The 21,439-nt window shown below is 40.0% G+C and overlaps 1 protein-coding gene across 3 annotated transcripts, besides 1 other annotated feature; it reads left to right on the top strand.

Moving 5' to 3' along the window:
* Positions 9,035–9,581: an enhancer, noted in NCBI's record as "H3K27ac hESC enhancer chr9:7799542-7800088 (GRCh37/hg19 assembly coordinates)". NCBI's record gives its function as "activates a minimal SCP1, AML or CMV promoter by ChIP-STARR-seq in primed H9 embryonic stem cells {active_cell/tissue: H9 hESC(primed)}" and the evidence as "EXISTENCE:reporter gene assay evidence [ECO:0000049][PMID:30033119]".
* DMAC1 (distal membrane arm assembly component 1) lies at positions 9,345–12,623 on the top strand. Of its 3 annotated transcripts, none has more exons than NM_001318059.2 (2): positions 9,345–9,576; positions 10,486–12,623. In NM_001318059.2, exons 1-2 carry the CDS (start codon positions 9,389–9,391, stop codon positions 10,685–10,687), a joined length of 390 nt encoding a protein of 129 aa, NP_001304988.1. In that variant the 5' UTR covers positions 9,345–9,388; the 3' UTR covers positions 10,688–12,623. The 3 variants fall into 3 exon arrangements, with proteins under 3 accessions (NP_001304988.1, NP_219500.1, NP_001304987.1); NM_033428.3 differs by having other exon boundaries at positions 9,345–9,662; NM_001318058.2 differs by having other exon boundaries at positions 9,345–9,674.
* Positions 12,624–21,439: the final 8,816 nt, after the last annotated feature.

The raw sequence follows: 21,439 nt of genomic DNA, 5'->3' as shown, positions 1-21,439 counted from the left end.
GGCATACAAGAGGAAGGGAGGAGAGATAATATAGTTCATACACAACAACAGCACATGGAAAACTACCATGACAGGAATACTCCAAGAAGTGCATCATCTGTCAGTATTTCAGGAGAAATGGCAGATTCATGACTTTAGGAAACAGTCACCGTGAAATATGAGGCATAACCAATTCATTGACTCAAGCTAAGGTGTTCAGATTTGCTAGACATTAAACTCAGAAATTCAGCTTATCCTATTATAAAACAAATGACTACGGAAATACCTTTTCAAGAAGCAATTATTTTTCTTTACTCAGGGTTATAAATTTATAAAATATGTTTTATGTAATAATTAATCTATAATGTCATAAAAGATAGCTCAACATCAAATTTTAATATGCAAGCCTAAGGCTCTCTGTATTCATTTTATTATGCAAATTTTCTTAATTTATATGAGATGTATAAGTTACATACCTTTCCAGATGAAATTATATGTACCACACTTTGCACTAGTTTAATATAAAGATGATATTAAGACTAACAGAACCCTTTCAACTTCTATTTTATAAGGAAAGAAACAAATGATTAATTCTGCTCTTTTTTAATGATCAGTCTACATAATTAATCAGGATGCTTTGTAAATTTAACTTTATTGTTTGTCATATAGTGCATTGTTTAAAATTATTCAATAAATTGTCCTTTGTAATGATGAATGAGTAGAAGTAATGCGAGTTAGCTGTATTTGGTTATAAGAAAGTAATAAAATAATTGTGTTTTTAAGAAGATATAATTCAGATAAACATTCCTGAAATAAGTGATAAGAATCTATTTATATAGAAAGGGTATTGCTTATGCCTGGGAAAACTGAACTAGAATAGTCAGCAAAGATTTTACTGGACAATTTAAGGAAGGAAGGAAGGAAAAAACAAAAGTGAGGGAAGGAAAAGAAAATCATTTGGGCATTCAGGCAAAAAGATCTAGTCACTTACATCAGAAAATAAATTGGCCTGGCCTCAGAATTCTCCACAGCAATGTTCAATGTCAGAAAACAGTAGAGGAACACAGAATCCGTAAAGAAAGAAAATGCTGTCCCAAACAGTTAGATATACTTTGCTGTCTGAGCCTAGGTTTCTGAGTGCAGTCTTGAGACAATAGTTTAATCAAGTGCATTTATTATTAGTTTCCTGCAGCCACTGTAACAAATTGCCACAAACTTGGTGGCTTGAAACAACAAAGTATGTTCTCTCACTATTCTGGAGGCCAGAGTTCAAAATCAGAATTGCTGAGCTGAAATCAAGGTGTCAACAGGGTCAAGTTCCCTCTGGAGGGTCTTGGGAAATGTTGTTCCTTGGTTCTTCCGGCTTCTGGTGACTGCCAGCATTCCTTGATTTGTGGCTGCCTCAGTCCAGTCTCTGCTTCTGGGGTCACACTATATTCTGTGTATAATTGTTCTCTGTGTGTCTCTTATAAGGATACCTGTGACTGCATTTAGGCCTGACCAGAAAATCCATCACAACCAACCCATCTCCAGATCCTTAATCACATCTGCAATGATCCATTTCCATATAAGCTAACATTTACAGATTCCACACTGATTAAATAAATTAATAGATTAAAAGAATTGCTGGGTACTGTCTTTTCTACTTAATACAAACAAACTTATTTTATGGGGGTGGGCAGAGTATTGCTCTGTCACTCAGGCTGAAATGCAGTGGCACAATCATAGCTCACTGCAGCCTCAAACTCCTGGGCTCAAACAATCCTCCTACCTCAACCTCCTGAGTAGCTAGCACTACAGGCATGCATCACAATGCCCGGCTAATTTTTTCATTTTTTCATAGAAATGGGGTCCTGCTGTGTTTCTCAGCCTGGTCTTGAACCCCTGGCTTCAAGGGATACTCTCTCCTTAGCCTCCCAAAGTGCTGATATGACAGGTGTGAACCATCGTATCTGACCAATAAAAACAAACTCGCAAACTACTATGAAATTGATAATATTCCAGAGATGTATAATTTGTAAAAACAAACTGCTAACAGAAAATTTAAACAGCTTTCCAAAATAGAAAGGAACCTCTTCAAATAACCTGCTTGCCCCCACAAAGAATAAAGTGACTGAACTAGACAATTTAACAGGGAAATTCTGCCAAAACTTTTAAAAAGCAGATAATGTTTAAACTGTTCCAGAATCCAGGAAAAAGGAGTATCTCCAAATTCTTTTTATGAAGTAGACATAATAGTGATCACCTAAATCAGCAGATTGTGTGCACACACACACACACACACACACACACACACACACACAAAACTATCAGTCATATTTCAGAGGTTCATCAGAATGCATGCATAATTCAATATTAGGATTTCTGGAAATCATGAGCCTTTTTATAGTTAAACTACAATCAATCAGAAGATACAGCAGAAGGAAAAATCCCTACTTTCAGTAACAACACAAAAGATAAAATGTCTGAAATAAAATGTGTGAGATCATTATGAAAAGACTTTAAAATGCTACAGAGGAATACAAAAGACATGAATGAAAGAAAAAGCATTCCATGTCCTTGGATAAGATGACCCCACATCATAAAGATGTCATTTCTTCCTAAATTAGCCTACAATTTTAATATAAGCCTAATAAAGATGTCATCATCTTTTGTTATAATAATCAAGCTGAGTCAAAAGTGCATGTGGAAAAATAAACAAGCAAAAATAGCCAAGAAAAGTCTGGAAGAGAAGATACGGGCAAACCAGTCTCCAAGTATTAACACGTTATAGAGATTTGGCAATTAATGTGATATTGGCATAAGAACTAATAGGCAGATCATGGAATAGAATATGAAGTCCAGTGATAAACGTAAATATATATATATATGGATGTATATATAGATAAATACATATATAATATAGACATATATACATAAATATATATAAACATATATTTACATATATGGTATTTTTGAAAAATAGCATTTAATTTTTTAAAATGTTATTTATTGATTGATTTTTAATTAAGTTTTTTAATAGAGACAGCATTTCACTATGTTGCCCAGGCTGGAGTGCAGTGGCTATTCCTAGGCATGATCATAGTGCGCTACAGTCTCTCTGATCCTCCCACCTCAGCCTCTCGGGTAGCTGCAACTATGGGCTAAAAGTGGCATTTTAAATAGGTAGTAAAAAGGTGGATTACTTAATAAATAATACTGAGACAACTGGGTAGCCTCTGAGGGGAAAAGTCTGATTCTATTATCGACACATAATAACAGGATAAATTTCAAATGTATTAAATTTTTAAGCATTAAAAAAAGGCTGAAATACTGGAGAAACCATAGATGGTGGAGGGCCTTTCTAAACATGACATGAAACTTAGAAGCTATAAAAGGAAAGATCGACTCAAGTATATGTTTAATAAAATATGCATAGTAAAAAGCAAAACAAAGTCAAAAGACAAATATCAAATTGGGAGAAAAATATGCCTACTTACATCACAGACAAAAGGTTAACTCATCTAATATGTAGAGTCCTGAGAAGTCAATGAGAAAAAGGCAATCTAATGGAAAAATGGATAAAATATGTTGACAGTTCACAGAAAAATAAATATGAGTTGCCCCTAAACATACTTAAGAAGCTCACTCATAATAAAAAAAGGAAAATGAAACCATTTTTCATATATTAGATTGGCAGAGATCAAAGATCAATGATTCAATTTTAAATAACAGTGTGAAGAAACAGGTCTTCTTGTACTTGCTGGTGAGAGGGTAAACTGGCACGATTTCTATGGAGGACAATTTGGTACTATCCACCACGCTTATAATTACCATACATATCTTTAGAATATGTCCTATTCTAAGATATACTCATATGTTTTTGATATGATGTATACACAAACTTATTTATTGTGACACTATCTATAGTAGCAAGAGAGTGGAAGCAGTCTAAATGTCCATTAGTGCCCACTGATATGAGGGCACTCATATAGTATGCTCATAAAATGGAATACTATAGACCCACACAAAAGCATAAAGAAGTTCTTTACATATTGGCTGATATGCAGTGAACTCTAAAATCATTGGAGAAAAAAAACGCACATAAGCAAACATCTCTGAAAAGACACACAAGAAACTAGTAACACACACTGTCAGGGAAGGAGAACTGGGTGGCTGACAGACAGGAGTGTGAAGCACACTTTCAGTATGTACAGTTTTACATCTTTTGCACTTTTTATATTTATAAATAAATCACGAGATCTTGTGAGTCAAAAGTGCTAAAATGAACTATAGACATAACAAATAGTAAAAGAAATAAACACAATGAAGAAGAAAATGAGGTAAAGTTAGCTTTCAACCTTCTACTAGTTTCCTTCCCTTAAAGACTTCTTCCAATTACAATGCTTGCTTTCATCAGCATCTTCCCTTATTCTCAGGCCCTTCTGTTTCATTGATCTCAAGAGGTGTGTTAATGCTTCCAGTAATTTTCCAATCAAAATTATGTGAGTCCATCTCAATTGCAACATGTGCTATGTAGTTTTAGGATACATAGGCTCTGCAGAAGCCATTGTTGAATTTTGGAGGGATATAACAATCAAATAGCAGCAAAGCCTGAAATAGTTCATTTGAGATAATCATAAGAGAACAAACCCATCTTTTGGAAGGTACTTGAAAGGAACACAAATTAAAATAAAATCTTGCCTGTTGTTCGGATATAGTGTTACAGGGCTATTTTAATACTATTTATTTGGAGAATTAATGATGTTCTCTCCTGATGGAAGATAAGCTTTTAGATAAAACATGAATAAATAAAATCACATGTCAAATAACCATGGTATCCATGGAGATGCACAAGTCCATATATTGTGATGTGAGAAAATATTGAAATTTCTTATTTCTATTATTTTACCTCATGCTTATAATATATAATGCGGTATATTAATATATAATTTATAAATAAGAAACATGCATAAATGATAGTGTGTGCTCAATCTTTTTTATCTATAGGGTTATCAGTCAAAATGTCTGGCAACAATCGCGAAACGATGAGTTTGTTCCTATATAAATACGAAGAAATTACATAACTATAAAGTGTTGTTATCAGGCAGTAAGAAGCAGAAGCCACAATTGTGAATTTCTAAATGAAATACTATTGAATTCATTTGGTATGGCACTTAGTGCAATGCCATCTGAAGAGAGATTCCTAATAAGTAGTTGGATTTTCAAGTCAGGAAAAACTGTTAGAGACCAACTAGTCCAAATCTTATTTTACACATGATTTACCTGAGGTCCAGAGAAGATAAATAATATTTTCTATGTCACATGGGTGGCCCACAGTAATAAAGTAAGGTATCGAACCCAAATCTCCCAAACTCCTTTGTCTTCCTACTACGTGCACACATGCACATACACACACACACACACACACACACACACACACACACACCTTTCTATAGATATAAATATACATAGAGATATGTATATCTATATGTCTCTCTCTCATATATGTGTGTGTATATATAAAGATCCTCCCTAATTATATGTGCCATATAACATATATATAAATAGAGAGCATCTTTGAAGTTAAGCAGTAGGCCAACCCAGTATTCTCACTACTTTATTTTATCCTCATATATCCATATCTTTATTTTTTCCTTTTTTTAGCCTTCCTAAAAATCACATCGCATTTCAGAACATGGAATAGAATGTGTTTATCTTGTTAATTTTTAAAGGCAATCTAAAGGAAAAAAGTTTAAATCCAAAGTTATCCCTATATTCACCCATCTCCTCTAAGAGAAACAAACTCAAAACTCTAAATGTCATTATTTCTTGCTAGTAATTCTCTGAGAACCACCCAACATAAGAAATATGTACTCAAAACCCAAAGAAAATGAAAGGTGATATGAGTTGGGAGTTGATGATACAGAAGTTTAATTGCAAAGACAGTATCATAAGTAAAACATCATTCTTAAGAGATAAGAAAGTAAACCGGCAAAAACAGATTCTGTATCAATTCCTCATATCTATTAGCCTGATTTTGGGGTTGAATTTTTCCAAGGCTCTCAAAAAAACAATGCCATGACTATGACATAATTCAGACCATGTCTTTAAGAAAGAAGCTAAAGAGAAATAAAAAGTATTTATCCAGGTAATTCAAACCAATTTTTAACATCTTGATCACATTTGTGTAGTCTCTTCACAATATGTACAGGTAGTGTTTAAGATATTTGACTGTATCCACAGACACTGGTTTCAACTGTGGCTATGGCAGTTAGCCAGTTTTGTCATATGTTGGGAAAACTTCATCTGCCATGTTGAGTCATGAAGATTAAATGGCATCATGCAGTTAGTTGCTTAGCAAAGGACAGGCATGTCTTATTTCACTATGCTTCACTTTACTGTAAATGGCAGATATTGTATATTTTACAAATAGAAAGTTATGTGGCAACCCTGTGTAGAGCAAGCCTATTAGCATAATTTTTCAAACAGTATGTGCTCACTCATGTCTGTATCACATTTTGGTAATTCTTGTAATATTTCAAACTTTTCCATTACTATTATATCTGTTATGGTGATCTGTGATCAGTGATATTTGATGTTACTATTGGAATAATTTTAGGGCAGAATGAACCACACCCATAGAAGATGGTGAACTTAATAAAAATGTGTGTTTTGACTGCTCCACCCACCAACCATTGCCCTCTCTACTTCTCCTCTGCATTTGCTGAGATGCAAAAATATTGAAATTAGGCCAACTAATAACATGACAATGGCCTCTAAGTGTTCAAGTGAAAGGAAGAGTCAAACTTCTCTCAACTTAAGTCAAAATGCAGAAATGATTATTACTAAGGAAGGCATGTCGAAAACTGGGATAGGCCGGAATGTAGGCCAAACAGCCAAGTTGTAAATACAAAGAAAAAGGAAGTTAAAAGTGCTACTCTAGTGAACACACCAATGATTAGAAAGTAAAACAGCCATATTGCTGATATGGAAAAAGTTTCAGTCATCCGGATAGAAGATCAAATCAGCCACAACATTCCCTTAAATCAAAGCCTAATCCAGAGCAAGACCTCAACTCTCCTTAATTCTACGAAGGCTGAGGGAGGTGAGAAAGCTGCAGAAGAAAAGTTGGAAGTTAGTAGACATTGGTTCATGTGGTTAAAAAAAAATAAGCTGTCTTCATAACATAAAAGTGCAAGGTGAAGCAGCAAGTGCTGATGTAAAAGCTGCAGCAAGTTATCAAAGAGATGTAGCTTAGATAATTGATAACAGATAATCAGTATAGATGAAGCAGCATTCTATTAATAAAAGATGCCATCTAAGACTTTCATAACTAGAGAGGACAAGTCAATGCTTGGTTTCACGCTTCAAATCTGACTTTCTTGTTAGAATCTAATATAGCTGATGACTTTAAATTGAAGCCAGTCCTCATTTACCTTTCTGGAAATCCTAGCATCCTTAAGAATTATGCTAAGGATACTCTGCCTGTGCTTTATAATTTGAACAACAAAGCCTGATGACAGCACATCTGTTTACAGCATGGTTTACTGAATATTTTAAGTTCATTGTTGAGACTTCTTGCTCAGAAAAAAGATTCCTTTCAAAATATTACTGCTCATTGACAATGTACCTAGTTACTCAAGAGCTTTAATGGAAATGTACAAAGAGATTAGCATTTTCATAACTGCTAACACAACATCCATTCTGCAGCCTATAGATAAAGAAGTAATTCTGACTTTCAAGTTTTATTATATAAGAGATACATTTTGTAAGGCTCTTGCAGCCTTACAATCAGAGATAATGATTTCTCTGATGAATCTGGTTAAAGTAAATTGAAAACCTTCTGGGAAAGATTCACCATTCTGATGCCATTAAGAATATCTGTGACTCATGGGAGGAGATCAAAATATCCCTAACTGGATATTGGAAGAAATTGATTCCAATCTTTATGAACAACTAAGAAGGGTTCAAGATTTCAGATGAGGGAAGTAACAGCAGATGTGGTGGAAATAGCAAGAGAACTAGAATTAGAAGTGGAGCCTGATGATGTGACTGAATTGCCACAATCTCATGATAAAACTTGAACAGATGAGGGGTTACTTCCTATGGATGAAGAAAGTGGTTTTTTGAGACGGAATCTACTCCTGGTGAAGATGCTATGAACATTGTCAAAATGTTGGATAAAGGGCTCCAATTTTGAAAGACGTTATATAGTGGTTATTAAAATGCTATAAAACGGCATTGCATGTTGCAAAAAAATCTTTCGTAAAAGGAAGAGTCAATTCTTGCAGAAAATTTCATTATTGTCTTATTTTAAGAAATTGGCACAGTTACCCCAACCTTCAGCAACCACTACCTTGATCAGTCAGCAGCCATCACCATCAAGGCCAGACCCTCCACCAGCAAAAAGATTAGAAGTGGCCAGGTGCGGTGGCTCATGCCTGTAATCCCAGCACTTTGAGAGGCCAAGGCAGGTGGATTACCTGAGGTCAGGAGTTTGAGAATAGCCTAGCCAACATGGTGAAACCCCGTCTCTACTAAAAATACAAAAAAATTAGCCAGGCGTGGTGGCAGGCATCTGTAATCCAAGCTACTCGAGAGGCTGAGGCAGGAGAATCACTTGAACCCGGGAGGCGGAAGTTGCAGTGAGCCGAGATTGTGCCATTGCACTGGGCAGTCTGGGCAACAAGAGCAAAACTCCACCTCAAAAAAAAAAAAAAAAAAAAGATTAGGATTTACTGAAGGCTAAGGTAATCGTTACCATTTTTTGGGCAAGATGTTTTTTAAATTAAGATATATATACTGTTTTTTAGACACAATGCTACTGCACATTTAATAGACTACAGTATAAACAACTTTTATATGCACGGAGAAACCAAAAAAAAATTGCATGGCTTGCTTTATCGAGATATTTGCTGTATTGTGTTGGTCTAGAACCAAACCTGCAATCGCTATGGTATGTCTGTATCTAGCACATGATTATGCACATATAAAACCCAACTCCTTGATTCACAGGCCTCTGGATAGGAGATATGACATGCCCAAGGTCTCGCAGTTCATGTGAGGCAGGAAACTTAAGAGAGCCAGACTTCTTTAAGGAGACTGAAAGGTGATTCATTTAGTGAGTAGCGATTACAGAATTTCTAAAACAGTGGGGGCGGGGGGGGCGGCGGGGAGGAGGGCTGGAATTGTCCTCCAGCGCATACAAGGTTGTTGCTGCCAGAGAAATCCAGCAGGAAAGAGCAGCATTCTTTCACCTTTTCCGCCTCTGAAGCGGAGGAGAACTTCATTTCCCAGCAGCCCTTAAGATTCCTCCGCGCACTGCGCTAGCGTCCCGGCATTCTGCTTTCCGGCGCTCTGCCTTCCGGTGCGTCGTTTACGCCAGTTTGAACCAAAGACGCCCAAGGTTGAGGCCGAGTTCCAGAGCATGGGGTCTCGGTTGTCCCAGCCTTTTGAGTCCTATATCACTGCGCCTCCCGGTACCGCCGCCGCGCCCGCCAAACCTGCGCCCCCAGCTACACCCGGAGCGCCGACCTCCCCAGCAGAACACCGCCTGTTGAAGACCTGCTGGAGCTGTCGCGTGCTTTCTGGGTTGGGGCTGATGGGGGCGGGCGGGTACGTGTACTGGGTGGCACGGAAGCCCATGAAGATGGGATACCCCCCGAGTCCATGGACCATTACGCAGATGGTCATCGGCCTCAGTGAGAATCAAGGCACAGCACTTGGGCGGGTTGGGTATCTGCGGGGTAGAGGAAGGAAACGGAGCAGCCACGTGGGCGGGGAGGCGGGGAGGCGGGGTGCTGCCGCTGGTCAGGTGGTGGGGGCACCTCAAACAAGGTGGGAGAGGAAGTTGTTGGAACGCCTTTCTTTTTTTTTTTTTAATTTTAAGTTAGTATTTCTTGAGAACCCTTATTAGACTCAGCCCTTTTAATTCTCAGAATAGCTGTTAGAAGTAGGTATGATTATAGTATTTACTGTGGAGCAAACCGAGGCAACGAGGAGTATTGTGTTCATGGTCAGGAAATGACAGTCACTTGATCCCAGGTATATCAGATCTCAAAGCCCATACTTTTTCTCCAGGTCCTGGAGAAAGCCTGAGCGAGGGCCCTTGACCTTAATTTAAGAAATTTGCCTTGAATCCCAGATCTTTAGACGTGGATTCTAAGCTCACCTACTTGGTACACCTGGGTAATGTGGCCCACAGCCCCGTTCTGTGATCGTCAAGATGTCATCCAATCAAACGTCATGATTTTTTTAGCTTTCAAACCGATTGTCAGTGAATAGAATTTTAGGTTTCTAACTGTCTTACCTTCTTGATCCTGTATAGGTAAATTCTCCTACAGGATATTCTTTTTTTTCCTGATTTTTTTTTCTTTTTCTGTGCTTCACTTGCCTTATAAGAAAGATACAATGGTAATATATCCTCCAGAAGTGTTGTGAGGGTTAAATAAGATGGCGTATATGTGAAACACTTGGTAAATTTAAATGCAGCATAAAGGTAAGGTATTGTTGTTTTTTTTCTAGGCATTGCCACCTGGGGTATCGTTGTCATGGCAGACCCCAAAGGGAAGGCCTACCGCGTTGTTTGAAAGTACCACCAGTGAATCTGTCTTCTGTCTCTGTCCCTTTCCCCGTGACACACACAGCAGGCATGGAATTTAATGGGTGTTCTGGACAGACACTTGTACATGGACAGACATCACTACTGTGGATACTACAAGACTGAGAAGAAAATCGTATGTTGTCATTCTCTGGCTATGGAGTGTTTGTGGCCTTCACAGATTTCACAGGAACCAATAAATCCCTCAGAGAAGTAAACAGGTTCTTTGTCTTATCTGGGGAAGGAAAGTATAACTTATATTTAAATATAATTGCTTAATTAAGCATTATATATAAACATAATAGTATGTCTTATATAATTGCATGTCATATTATATATAATAAACATAAATATGTTTAGTTATATAGTTAGTATAATTTTTAAAACTTTTAAATACAGCATATGGTAAACCAACGGGAAAATTAGCTATTTTACTTCATTATTTTAAAGAGTTCTTTTTATTTCTTTCATAATTGGATCAACAACTGTTAACCTAACCCTGGGTGGGCATCATGCAATATATAGAAGTACGTGAAATTTTCTGTGTATGAATTGCTGATACTTTGCAAGGCATTTTCAAATCCATCACCTTATGAGAGCTTCACAGCTAGTCTGAGGTAGTTACTTCATTGGAGGTAAAACTTAAAACACAAGAAAGAGCCCACATGATTTGCCTAGGGTCATTCAGTAAGTCCGTGATGGAGCTAGAACTTGTTCTTGTCAGTTTTTTGTTCTAGTCTTCCCTTTCATGGAGGCAAGAATAACCATTATGAAACAGTTAGATAATCATAAAAATCAGCATACAATAAAAGACTTAAATGTCACAAGAAAAATTCAAAACCTTTAGCTAAAAAAAAAAAAGATCTTTTGATTCTTTTTCCACAAGCACTAGATATGTTTCTGTGATGATTTTGAGATAAGTACTCAAAATTACATAGTTCATTTCTAAGAGAAGGCCATGTTTTCTACCTATTGGGTTTTTCTACCCTGAGATACTATGGCTTCTTTGTAAAGGTATATAAAGTGTTTTTCAAAGCGGAAAGATACTGTTAAATTCAGCTGCTAATCATAGTGTATTTGTTTGGAATGACATGTTGAGCAGGTAGTACCTTTACGGCTGTTGCTTTTTGCAGCATTATGTGGAAGTGCCTAAGTCTATTTAGCCTCACAGATGACTTTAGAATCTTGTATTTTCTACATCAGAGTTCATAGCGGGGATGGTGCTACATATATCTATGCAACTGAAAAAGAAAACATTTCAAACCTAAAGTACGCAACAAGATATTATTTATATGAAATCCATAGCTCAGTTATGCTATGTTCATGAATAGAGAAGTTTTAAGTTGGAAGGGACCATGGATGACCCAAAGCAGATACATATGGTCATTCATATACCTAAAATACCTACAAAGACAAGTTGTTCCCTGGTTTAAAAGGCAGTCTGTTCTATTGATGGACTGCTTTAGTCCCTGAACATTTTCTTTGGTTAAACCAAAAACACATAAACCTAACTTGGTCTTGGCTTGATCTACTGGGTAAATAATAACTCTTAAATATATATACAGTTGACCCTTGGACAACACAGGAGTTAAGAGCGCTGAACATTTGCTCAGTGGAGAATCTGCATATAACCTGACTCCTCAAAAACTTAATTAGTAGTTAGTTTACAATTGACTGGAAGCCTTATTGATAACATAAAGCAGTTGATTAACACATTTTTTGTGTTGTATGTATTATATTCCGTATTCTTACAAGAAGGTAAGCTAGAGAAAAAAAAAATGTTATTAAGGAAGTAATATATTCACTATTCGTTAGGTAGAAGTGAATCATCCTAAAGGTCTTCATCCTCATCTTCACGCTGAGTAGTCTGAGGAGCAAGAGGAGTTGGTCTTTCTGTCCCAGTGGCAGAGGTGGAAGAAAATCCACAGATACGTGGACCTGCGCAGTTCAAACCTGTGTTGTTTGGGTCAACTGTATTGTAATAGCATTTTAATGTTTTTCTCAGACTTTTACGAGTATGAATCTGAGCTTTTTCTGAATAAACCTGCCTGCTCACCATTAATAATGCCAAAGTGTGTTTGGTTCTTTCCATCTTGGAATAATTTAACTAAGTATGGGCAAAATATTGTTCTACCATGTCTATAATGTGGGAAGAAGCAAAAGGAAAATCTGCATTTGTTAAAAGTTTTTTTTTTTTTCTTTTGAAGTATACTCCAAAATCTGATTTCTGCCAGTGCTAACCCAGACATCCTAGTTTGTTTTAGGGATGAGTCTGATCTTCTCAGAGAGGTTTCAGAGACAGAGACATCGTCTTAATCCTTCAATACAGAAAGTTCACTTACTGCCCCCAATATCTTTCCTTTTGTTGAAGCTGAGGTGGAGTAAGCAGGATAAATGGGCTCAAGAATCAATGGATTATAACTCAGTCATGTAAGAACACCAGCTTAATTATGATTTACAGACTTTAGAATCCCTTTACAGCATGGAAAAGAGAGTTTATAAAGTCTCATCATTACCTATAGCAAAGAAGGAGACAAGAGACAAAGTACAAAAAGTAATTTAAAATGCACTTATACATTTCTCTAGGATCCAGAGACCAAAATGTGAATGTACATGTGAACATTGGCTTTTATCAGTGTCCAAGATATCGTTAACTCAAGCTATATATAGTGAGTATAAACTTTGATATCTCGAGATATTCAAGAAATCATTACACCATCTTTTGTTCCTATTGTGTATTGTATTGACTAGTCTGGAATAGTGTGATCAGCTAGCAAAATGAACATATTAAAGGACCCACATATAGATTGACCCTCAAGGATCTGGGTAAGATAGGGGAAGGGGATGGGAGATCTCTTTTTTTTTCCCTAGGCCAGTTGCGGAGACAGCTGTTGTTGACAGCCCTGGAGTGTCCCAAATGCAGAGCAGTCTCAAAAGTTTCTGGAGCTTTACCTGGCTGAGACCAGTGCAGAGACAGCTGTTTCTGGTGGCCCTGGAAGTTAGCATCTCAACCATGATTTGTACTTCAGCTCCACCCTTAGCTTAGCATTTGCTGCTTGCTTCTTTTTATTAATGGTTTCTCAGCCTGGCTGTGTCTAAGCTAGGAGGCTCCTGAAAGAAGCCAGTTGATTTGACAACATAAAATACATGCTCTTTAATTAAATATGTTTAGGGCAAGTATATGTTCACATATCCCCTCAAACCAGGCTTGGCCTCAACTGATTTATTGCCAGGACTACATTGATCAAACTGACATTTCTTAAACAATAGTAAACAATTTTAGTTGAAAAGCTGTTTTTTTTTTTTTTTTTTTTTAAGTGACAAATTCTTGTCTTGACCCAATGATTATGTAGGTGTTAGGGGCACAGACTTAAAGGTGAAAGACCCATAATTACACATCATTCTAAAATGCATATCTCTTGGACTTTGAGGTATTCGCAACTTGTCATTCAAATATAAATGGAATGTAGAGAAATAGCCAGAGGGTCAAATGTTAAATCCAGCCATGCCACTAAAAATCACTGCTCAGTCCTGTGACTGAACTTGCAGGGGCTTCAGGAATGTGGTAGGAGGGTCTTGAGATGGTCCCTGTCTCCAGCCCCTTGGGGTACACACACCTCCCAGTTACTCAAATCAAACACCATTCTAGGTGCTGGCTGTGAAGGGATTTTGCAGGTGTAATTAAGGTACCACATCAGATGACCATAAAATGGATTATCTAGAAGGACTAATCATATAAGCCCAATAAATCTCTGTCTGGAAGTCAGAGACAGAAGTCAGATTAGAAGCATGAGAAGGATTTAGTGCTCCAGAAGTTCTTTGCTGGCCCGTAGAGAAAAAGTTCACATCTATGTTGTGAACTGCCTCTGGGGGCCATGTGGTAAAGAACTGCAGGCAGCCTGAAGATGCTGACAGTAGCCCCCAACTGACAGCCAGAAGGAAAATGAGGACCTCAATTTTACAACTGCAAGGAAATGAATTGCTGCCTGTGACCTGTGAACTTGCATGAGGGCCCTATGAGAACCAAGAACCACTGCTCCGACCAGCAGCTTGGCTTCAGTCTGGTAAGACCCTAAGCTGAGTATCAGTCATGTGAAACCGAGATAAATTTATGTGAAGTTGCTGAGTTTGTGATATTTTTGTGTCTCAGCAATAGAAAACTAATATAAGGAATTAGAGGTGTTTTGTGGTGTTTTAGTCATAGTAGGTGACGTGTCAGACTAAATACCATTCTGTGTATTCAGGAAGTAGCAAGAAAAAGCCATTTATTTGAATAGCATTTGTCTTCCCAGTAACTAACTTCACTTGTTCTTTTACTGGTGGTTTTCTTGGATAGTTTTAATGTGTGTTTTTAGTTGTTTTCTGCTTTCTAGCACAGTTGTTCCACTGATAAGTAAATATATTAAAAATTACAGCACCCTTTTTATATGCCAAGTATTATGCTAAATATTTTACCTGAATTGTTTTATTTAATCCTCAGCAACCCTGTTTTATAGATTAGATGACTGAGACCTGAAGGAGTTAAGAATTTGCCCAAAGAAGGTCTTAGGCCAATGAACCAGTAGTGGCTCAGCTAAGAACACCAATTAGAAACATATGTTGTTACAGTTGTTTTCTTAGCGTCCATTCTCAAAATATTCAAGTTTCAAAATTAGAAATTTTGCATTTTGATTTTCACTTTTTTCTGGTTATCCCTTAGTATCATTAATCTCTTGGTTTCCTTTCTTTATAATTGAGGTTATATCACTTATCACTGTGACAGCAATGTAAATATTAATCCAGGAGAAGACATTCAACTCATCTCCCTAAGCTCATTCCCTTCGAAGACATTACCCCAATCTCTATCCTGACATTGCACCATTCTCCTGAACCTCCAACTGTATTTCCCAGTCACAGCAGGACATTTCTTCTTGTCTGTCCTCAGACATCAGAGTCCCAACGTGTCCCAAATGAACCTTTAATATCTCCCTCCAACCTATTTCTTTTTTATTTCTTATCTCTATTAATAGTCTTTCCACTTCATCAGCTGGCCAAGCTAGAAACCATGGAATTATCTATGACTCCCTCCTTACCCTCATTCTTTACTTCTGACCTGTTAACACGCCCTGGTTATTTTAACTTTCTAATCGTCACTTCTGTCCATTCCCATTGCTATTGTTTTGGACCAGTTACCATCATTTCTCATGTAGATTGCTATAATAGATTCTTAATTCCTCCTTGCTTCCAGGAAACCCTCTCATCTACTCTCCACTATAGCCCAAGCTACTTGAAAACATGTTCCTGCTTAAAACCATTCAGTATCTTTGCTGCATACAAGATGAATCCCAAACACTTTGGCAGATCATGAAATGCCTTTCATCTTCAGCTCCATAACTTTCTGTCTTAATTGTCTTCCACTCCTCGACATCTGTTCCGTACAGCCAATGTTTCTGCCACTTACTTAAGCCAGTTCTCCCTAAAATGTCATTCTTTATGCCTTTACACATGCTATTCCTTCAAGCTGGAATATCTTTTTGTCCCTGCATTATATGGAGAAATCCCACTTGTCCTTCAAGGCCCAGACTGAGTGTTGCCTTTCCGGTGAAGCCTTCCGTGAAATAGTTCCACTTCAGTTACTTTGATTCTGGTGCAACCATTAACTTTCTGCAGAATTCTATCACTGCACTTAAATGTTTGCCCAGTAATTGCTTATTTATGCATCTGTCCCTCCCCAGTGATTGTGAACTCCTCAAGAAGAGGATTGTGCTTTTGTCATCTTCATGTTTCCCATCCCCAGCACCAACATGTGAGGCTTTCAGTTGATGATACTCAATAAATATTTGATGACTGAGTGAATAAACAACTGAACAAATGAATGAGAAGAGAAAGAAATGTTTGTCCCATTTGGTAACTTTAGGATATCTCAGTGGTTATCAAGGTTTGGTCCCTGGACTAGCAGCAGCATCATTACCTGATAACTTATGAAACTTCCACCTTCTCAGCCCATTGACATTTACTACTGAATCAGAAGCCCTGGGGGTAGAACCCACCAATTTGTATTGTAACAAGCCCTCCAGGCTTAAGAAAGTTTGGTGAACCTCAGGCATAGCTGAAACTGACTGACCTTTGTACAGTGGATCTTAATTATAACATAATGGAAAGAAGATCTGATTGGCGCCATGGAACCCAGCTTCTAATCCTAGTTCTGCCACCAGCTCCTAATATGCTCTTGGGCAAGTCACTTAGCATTTAACAACATAAATTTTACCCTCTGTGAAGTCAGAAGATCAGAACAGATAATTTCTAAATTCTCTTTCAGCACTAAAGTCCTCTCTTCCCATAATCTCTGTTTAAAGAAGTAGATACACTTTCTTAGATTCCAAAAGACAGAGATAGCAATGAGGAATTCATAGAAAATTGAAATAGCACCCTGCAGTAATCCTGCAAAGCTGCAGCAGATTAGACTATTACCCAGTCAAGTCCACTCCCTAACATCTTGCAGCTGCAATGCCTGATGCTTAACAGGAATTTAGCAGTCTTCACCCCAGTTAGTGCACCTAGCCAACCAAACAACCCTACTGGGTGGGAAGAGGTCTTTCCTGACCCGTTCCTGATTAGATCATGCCTGCAGCACGAAGTGTGATTACTCTCTTCTAAGGAATATGGCTGTGCTTTGGTCAAGGACAGGCAGAGATAAACATCCAGACCCATTGAGTTTAGAGTGCAGGCGTATAACTCCACTCATTATCATAGCCGTGTAGACATAACATAGAGAAGCTCACCACCATAGCCATAGCATAGGGAAGGCTCATCACTTGGCTCTAAGCCACTATTGTCTGTAAAAGATATAATTACCCTGTTGACACTGTACAGGTGCACTTCTCGCCCAGAGAAAGAGAGCACCAGAGCTGTCCATCTTTGCAGATGACAAAGGAGGGAGCCAGAACAGAGCTCAGCTTGCTCATGCCCAGAGAGAGAGAAAGAGTTAAGCTGCTGACCCTGACGGGAGAGCCGGTTGTGCAGCTGTGTGTGGGGGCTGCCGGACTAAGCAGCTGAGAAAAGGTGGACAGTGTGGGAGAGCTAGTGTGAGTAAGCTGCTGATGAGAGAGCTGCTGAATAAAACTACACTTCACCTGTTCATAGCCCCCTGAGTGTTTTTTCACAGTCAGGTTCCAGCCCATGCTGACTGTTCTCAGTTATCTGACCATCTGCCCACTCCCCTCGAACCTCATCATGATCTGGAACCTGACCCCAAGCAGGACATTTGGCATAGTCGTGAACCTGACAATTGGCAACGTTGGCAGGATGAAGTGAGTGGGTCTTCAGCCCCCGAGGGCTCCTGGGTCGGCTTCTGGGACCCCTTCTCACCTCGTGGCATGGTTACCTGTGGAGTGGGCATCTTCCCGTTGTTTATGGCACTAGTTCCTCAGTCCCACCAATGGCCTTCTGCCTCCCAGAGGGCTGCCATATCAGTAGTCCCTTCATGTATGTGGCATCCCACATTTGGGGTGAGAACAGCAGCTAGAGAGCCACTCCCTAACATCTTGCAGCATGGGCTATGGTACCCGGTGGCAGAGGTGCTGCTTGGATGTGCCCCAGTGGAAATGTGGGAGGCAGTGGGCGGGTCTCCCGCAAATGTGGAGAAAGCACTGAAGCAGCTGGAAGCACACAGCACAGAGAAGGAAAGCACCTTCGCCAGGAGAGTTGGATGGGCATTTCTGACTGCACTGCGGGAAGTACATGCTCAGTCCCACAGGTAAGAGACCTCCCAGTGCAAGCTTCACACCTACGGGCCCAAGTGCACAGCTTGGAACAGGACCTGAGGATGGGGGATCTCCAGGCACAAGCAGGGCACTTGGAGGCCCAGATAAACAGCTTGGAACAGGACTTAGCAACAGCTGTTGGCGTGACCTTAAGCCTGTCCTCCTGGCCGGACACTCTTGTTTGGTCTGATGCCAAAGAGAAGGAGGCTCCCCCACTGTGGGCTCACCCTGTGATCCATCAAAAGGTAGAACATAAGCAGCTGATATGACCCCAGGGGAGAGCCCAGGGACCCCCCAAAGTGGTAGAACACACCTCTTATAGTGCTTATACCTGCACTGAGTTGCAGCAGTTAGGTAAACAGTGCAGGCCGCACCCAGGGGAACCCCTCCCTACCTGAATGCTCTGTCTCCGGGACAAAGGAACTGATAGCATTTCTTGCTCTGCCTCTGAGATGGAGAAACTGGCTTCTATCACAAGTCATCCCTCCTTTCATCAGCGGCTGCAGCCATGCCAATGGTACGAGGACAAGGTGACCACACATTAATTGAGTGGCTGATAGCAGCCATACGGACTGTTTGGAATGATGCCAAAAAGATACCAGAAACAGTGAGTAAACGGCAATCATATACTGATTTGGTGCAGATACTCCAGGAGATGGGTATGTGGCAGGCTATGTTTGATCTGAATACCCGGAGGCCAAATGATGAACGCTTTACCTCCCACATGAGGGATCTTGTGCTGGGCTCAGTGCCCCAGAGAGCTTTTGGTTCTCTAGCTGCTGTTCTCACCCCGTATGTGAGGCGCCATATACATGAAGTGACTAATGCTATGGCAGCCCTCGGGGAGACAGAAAGGCATTGGCAGGACCTGGGAACCCATGCCATAAAGAAAGGGAAGGTGCCCCCTCTGTGGGTAACCACCCCACAAGATGAGAAGGAACCCCAGCAGGTAAACTGCATGCAGATGTGTATTGATTTAATTGCAGCTGGGGTTGCTCGGGAGAAAATTGACAGGCAACCCAATGGAATGCTGTTGGTTCTGTGAAGGCAGTTGTCCCCAGAGCAGCAATTCCAGAGAATGCCTAAGGTGGGACGGTGAAGCAATGTTGTTCAAACTACTCCCACCTGGATCCTGCAACTCAAGGACTATTTGCAGACAAGTGAATATATGGAGGCTTTCTCGTTTGATTAGGGAACTGGCCGAGGTGCCTGGCTCAGCGGAGGGTACCAGACAACTGGAGGCTCTACGTGGAGCTGGCAATCCACTGGTCCCCCACTAATGTACAGCAGGTCCTAGCACTGGTAGATACTGGTGCAGACTGCAGTATAGTTTATGGAAACCCGGATAAGTTTCTGGGCAAAGCTGCATTTATTGACGGTTATGGGGGCCAGTCAGTGAAGGTGAAACCTGTGTCTCTGCATCTTGGCGTTGGCCACTTGGCTCCCTGCCTGTACACTGTGTATGTTTCTCCTATACCTGAATATATTCTGGGGGTGGACATTTTGCATAGTCTGGACTTACACACTGCGGTTGGAGAATTCAGACTAAGAATTCATGTATTAAAACTGGTACTGTGTGGACATTCGCATCACCAGTCCCAAGTTCTGCCACAACCCTGATGGGTTACCTCCACTCATCAATACCATTTGCCAGAGATAACTGAGACTATTAAGAGGTTAGAGGAGGTGCAAATAGTGTGTGGCACCCATATTCCCTACAATTCCCCAGTATGGCCAGTCAGAAAGCCTGATGGGACTTGGCAGATGACAGTGGATTATTGGGAACTGAAATAAGTAACACCCCCTCCACGTGCAGCTGGACCTTCCATCGTGGACTTGATGGACTTGACAATAGAGCTGGGACAGTAGCACTTTGTGATGGGACTTGGCTAATGCATTCTTCTCCATTGACATCGCTCCAGAGAGCCAGGCAGAGTTTGCCTTCATGGGAGGGCAACAATGGACTTTCACAGTGTTGCTGCAGGGCTATATGCATAGCCCCACCATGTTTCATGATCTCATTGATGATGTTATGCTAACCTTTGATTCTGTTGCAGGTTTAGAAGTGGCAATGACCCTCTTGCCTGGGATTGGGATGACGAAGCTGAGACAGCATGTCTGGTAACCAAGCGGGCTATTTAGCAGGTACAAACCCTAAGGGTAGTTGACCAGGGGTGCCCATTTAACGTAAATGTGCATATGACCATGGATAGTTTCTGTTAGGGCCCATAGCAGTGCACAGAGCATCTGAGTATGCCAATAGGCTTTTGGTCCCAACTATGGACGGGAGCTGAGCTCTGGTAGTCCTTAATAGAGAAGTGATTAGTAATATGGGATGGGTGTATTCATAGATAACCACCCCCCGGACTGGGAAAGCAGTTAGTAACTGCATATGCTGCCCTTCAGGCTCATAAGAGCACTGCAGGACAGGCTGCAGTCGTGCAGATGGCTTACCCAATAGCGAGGTGGATGTGCTCATGGGTAACAACCTCCGAGACTGGGACAGCACAGACATCCACTTTAGCAAAGTGGGGCGCCTACTTAGAACAGCAGAGTACTGTAAGTACAAGTCCCTTAGCAGCAAAGTTACAAGAGGTTTTAGGGCCTATAGTCCTAATGTAAGATAAGGCCATGGGGCCTACGGCACCCCTAGACCCTGAGCCATCACTGTTTAAGGAAGGGCACACTCCCATTCCTAATGACACATGTTATATAGATAGGTCTAGCCAGAGTACTGCTGCTGCCTAGATTGCTGCTGCAGGCCAGCCTAATACTGTCACTATATGGTTTGATAACAAGTGTGGGCAAAGTAGCTAATAAGTTAAACTCAGGGCAGTGTAGATAATGATCACCAAGGAGGTGACACCTATGGTAATCTGCAGCAATAGCTGGGTAGTTTATTGAGGCTTAACCTTGTGATTAACTACCTGAAAGTTACAGAATTAGCTAGTCACTGACCCATATAGGGCCAGGCCATGTGGCCAGATCTATGAGAGGAAAGATGACCTCCTCCAACCAGGTATGGGGACGAATGGTAATCTGTTATTGCCTGCCCCAACACCCCTAAAGGTAGGGAAACAGATAACCCTGGTGTTGGCCATGGACCCTCCAAGCCCCTCATTGCAGATGGTTGGCT

The sequence above is a fragment of the Homo sapiens genome, chromosome 9, assembly GCF_000001405.40.
Source record: "Homo sapiens chromosome 9, GRCh38.p14 Primary Assembly".
Lineage (NCBI taxonomy): Eukaryota > Metazoa > Chordata > Mammalia > Primates > Hominidae > Homo > Homo sapiens.
The sequence above is the reverse complement of the archived record's forward strand: the minus strand, read 5'-3'. Positions and strand labels throughout refer to the sequence as shown.

Coding starts and splice junctions, on each gene's coding strand:
- DMAC1 (NM_001318059.2), top strand. CDS start 9,389: ATGGGGTCTCGGTTGTCCCAGCCTTTTGAGTCCTATATCACTGCGCCT. Junction 9,577..10,485: donor GGGCTGATGGGGGCGGGCGG/GTACGTGTACTG, acceptor TTTTTTTTCTAG/GCATTGCCACCTGGGGTATC.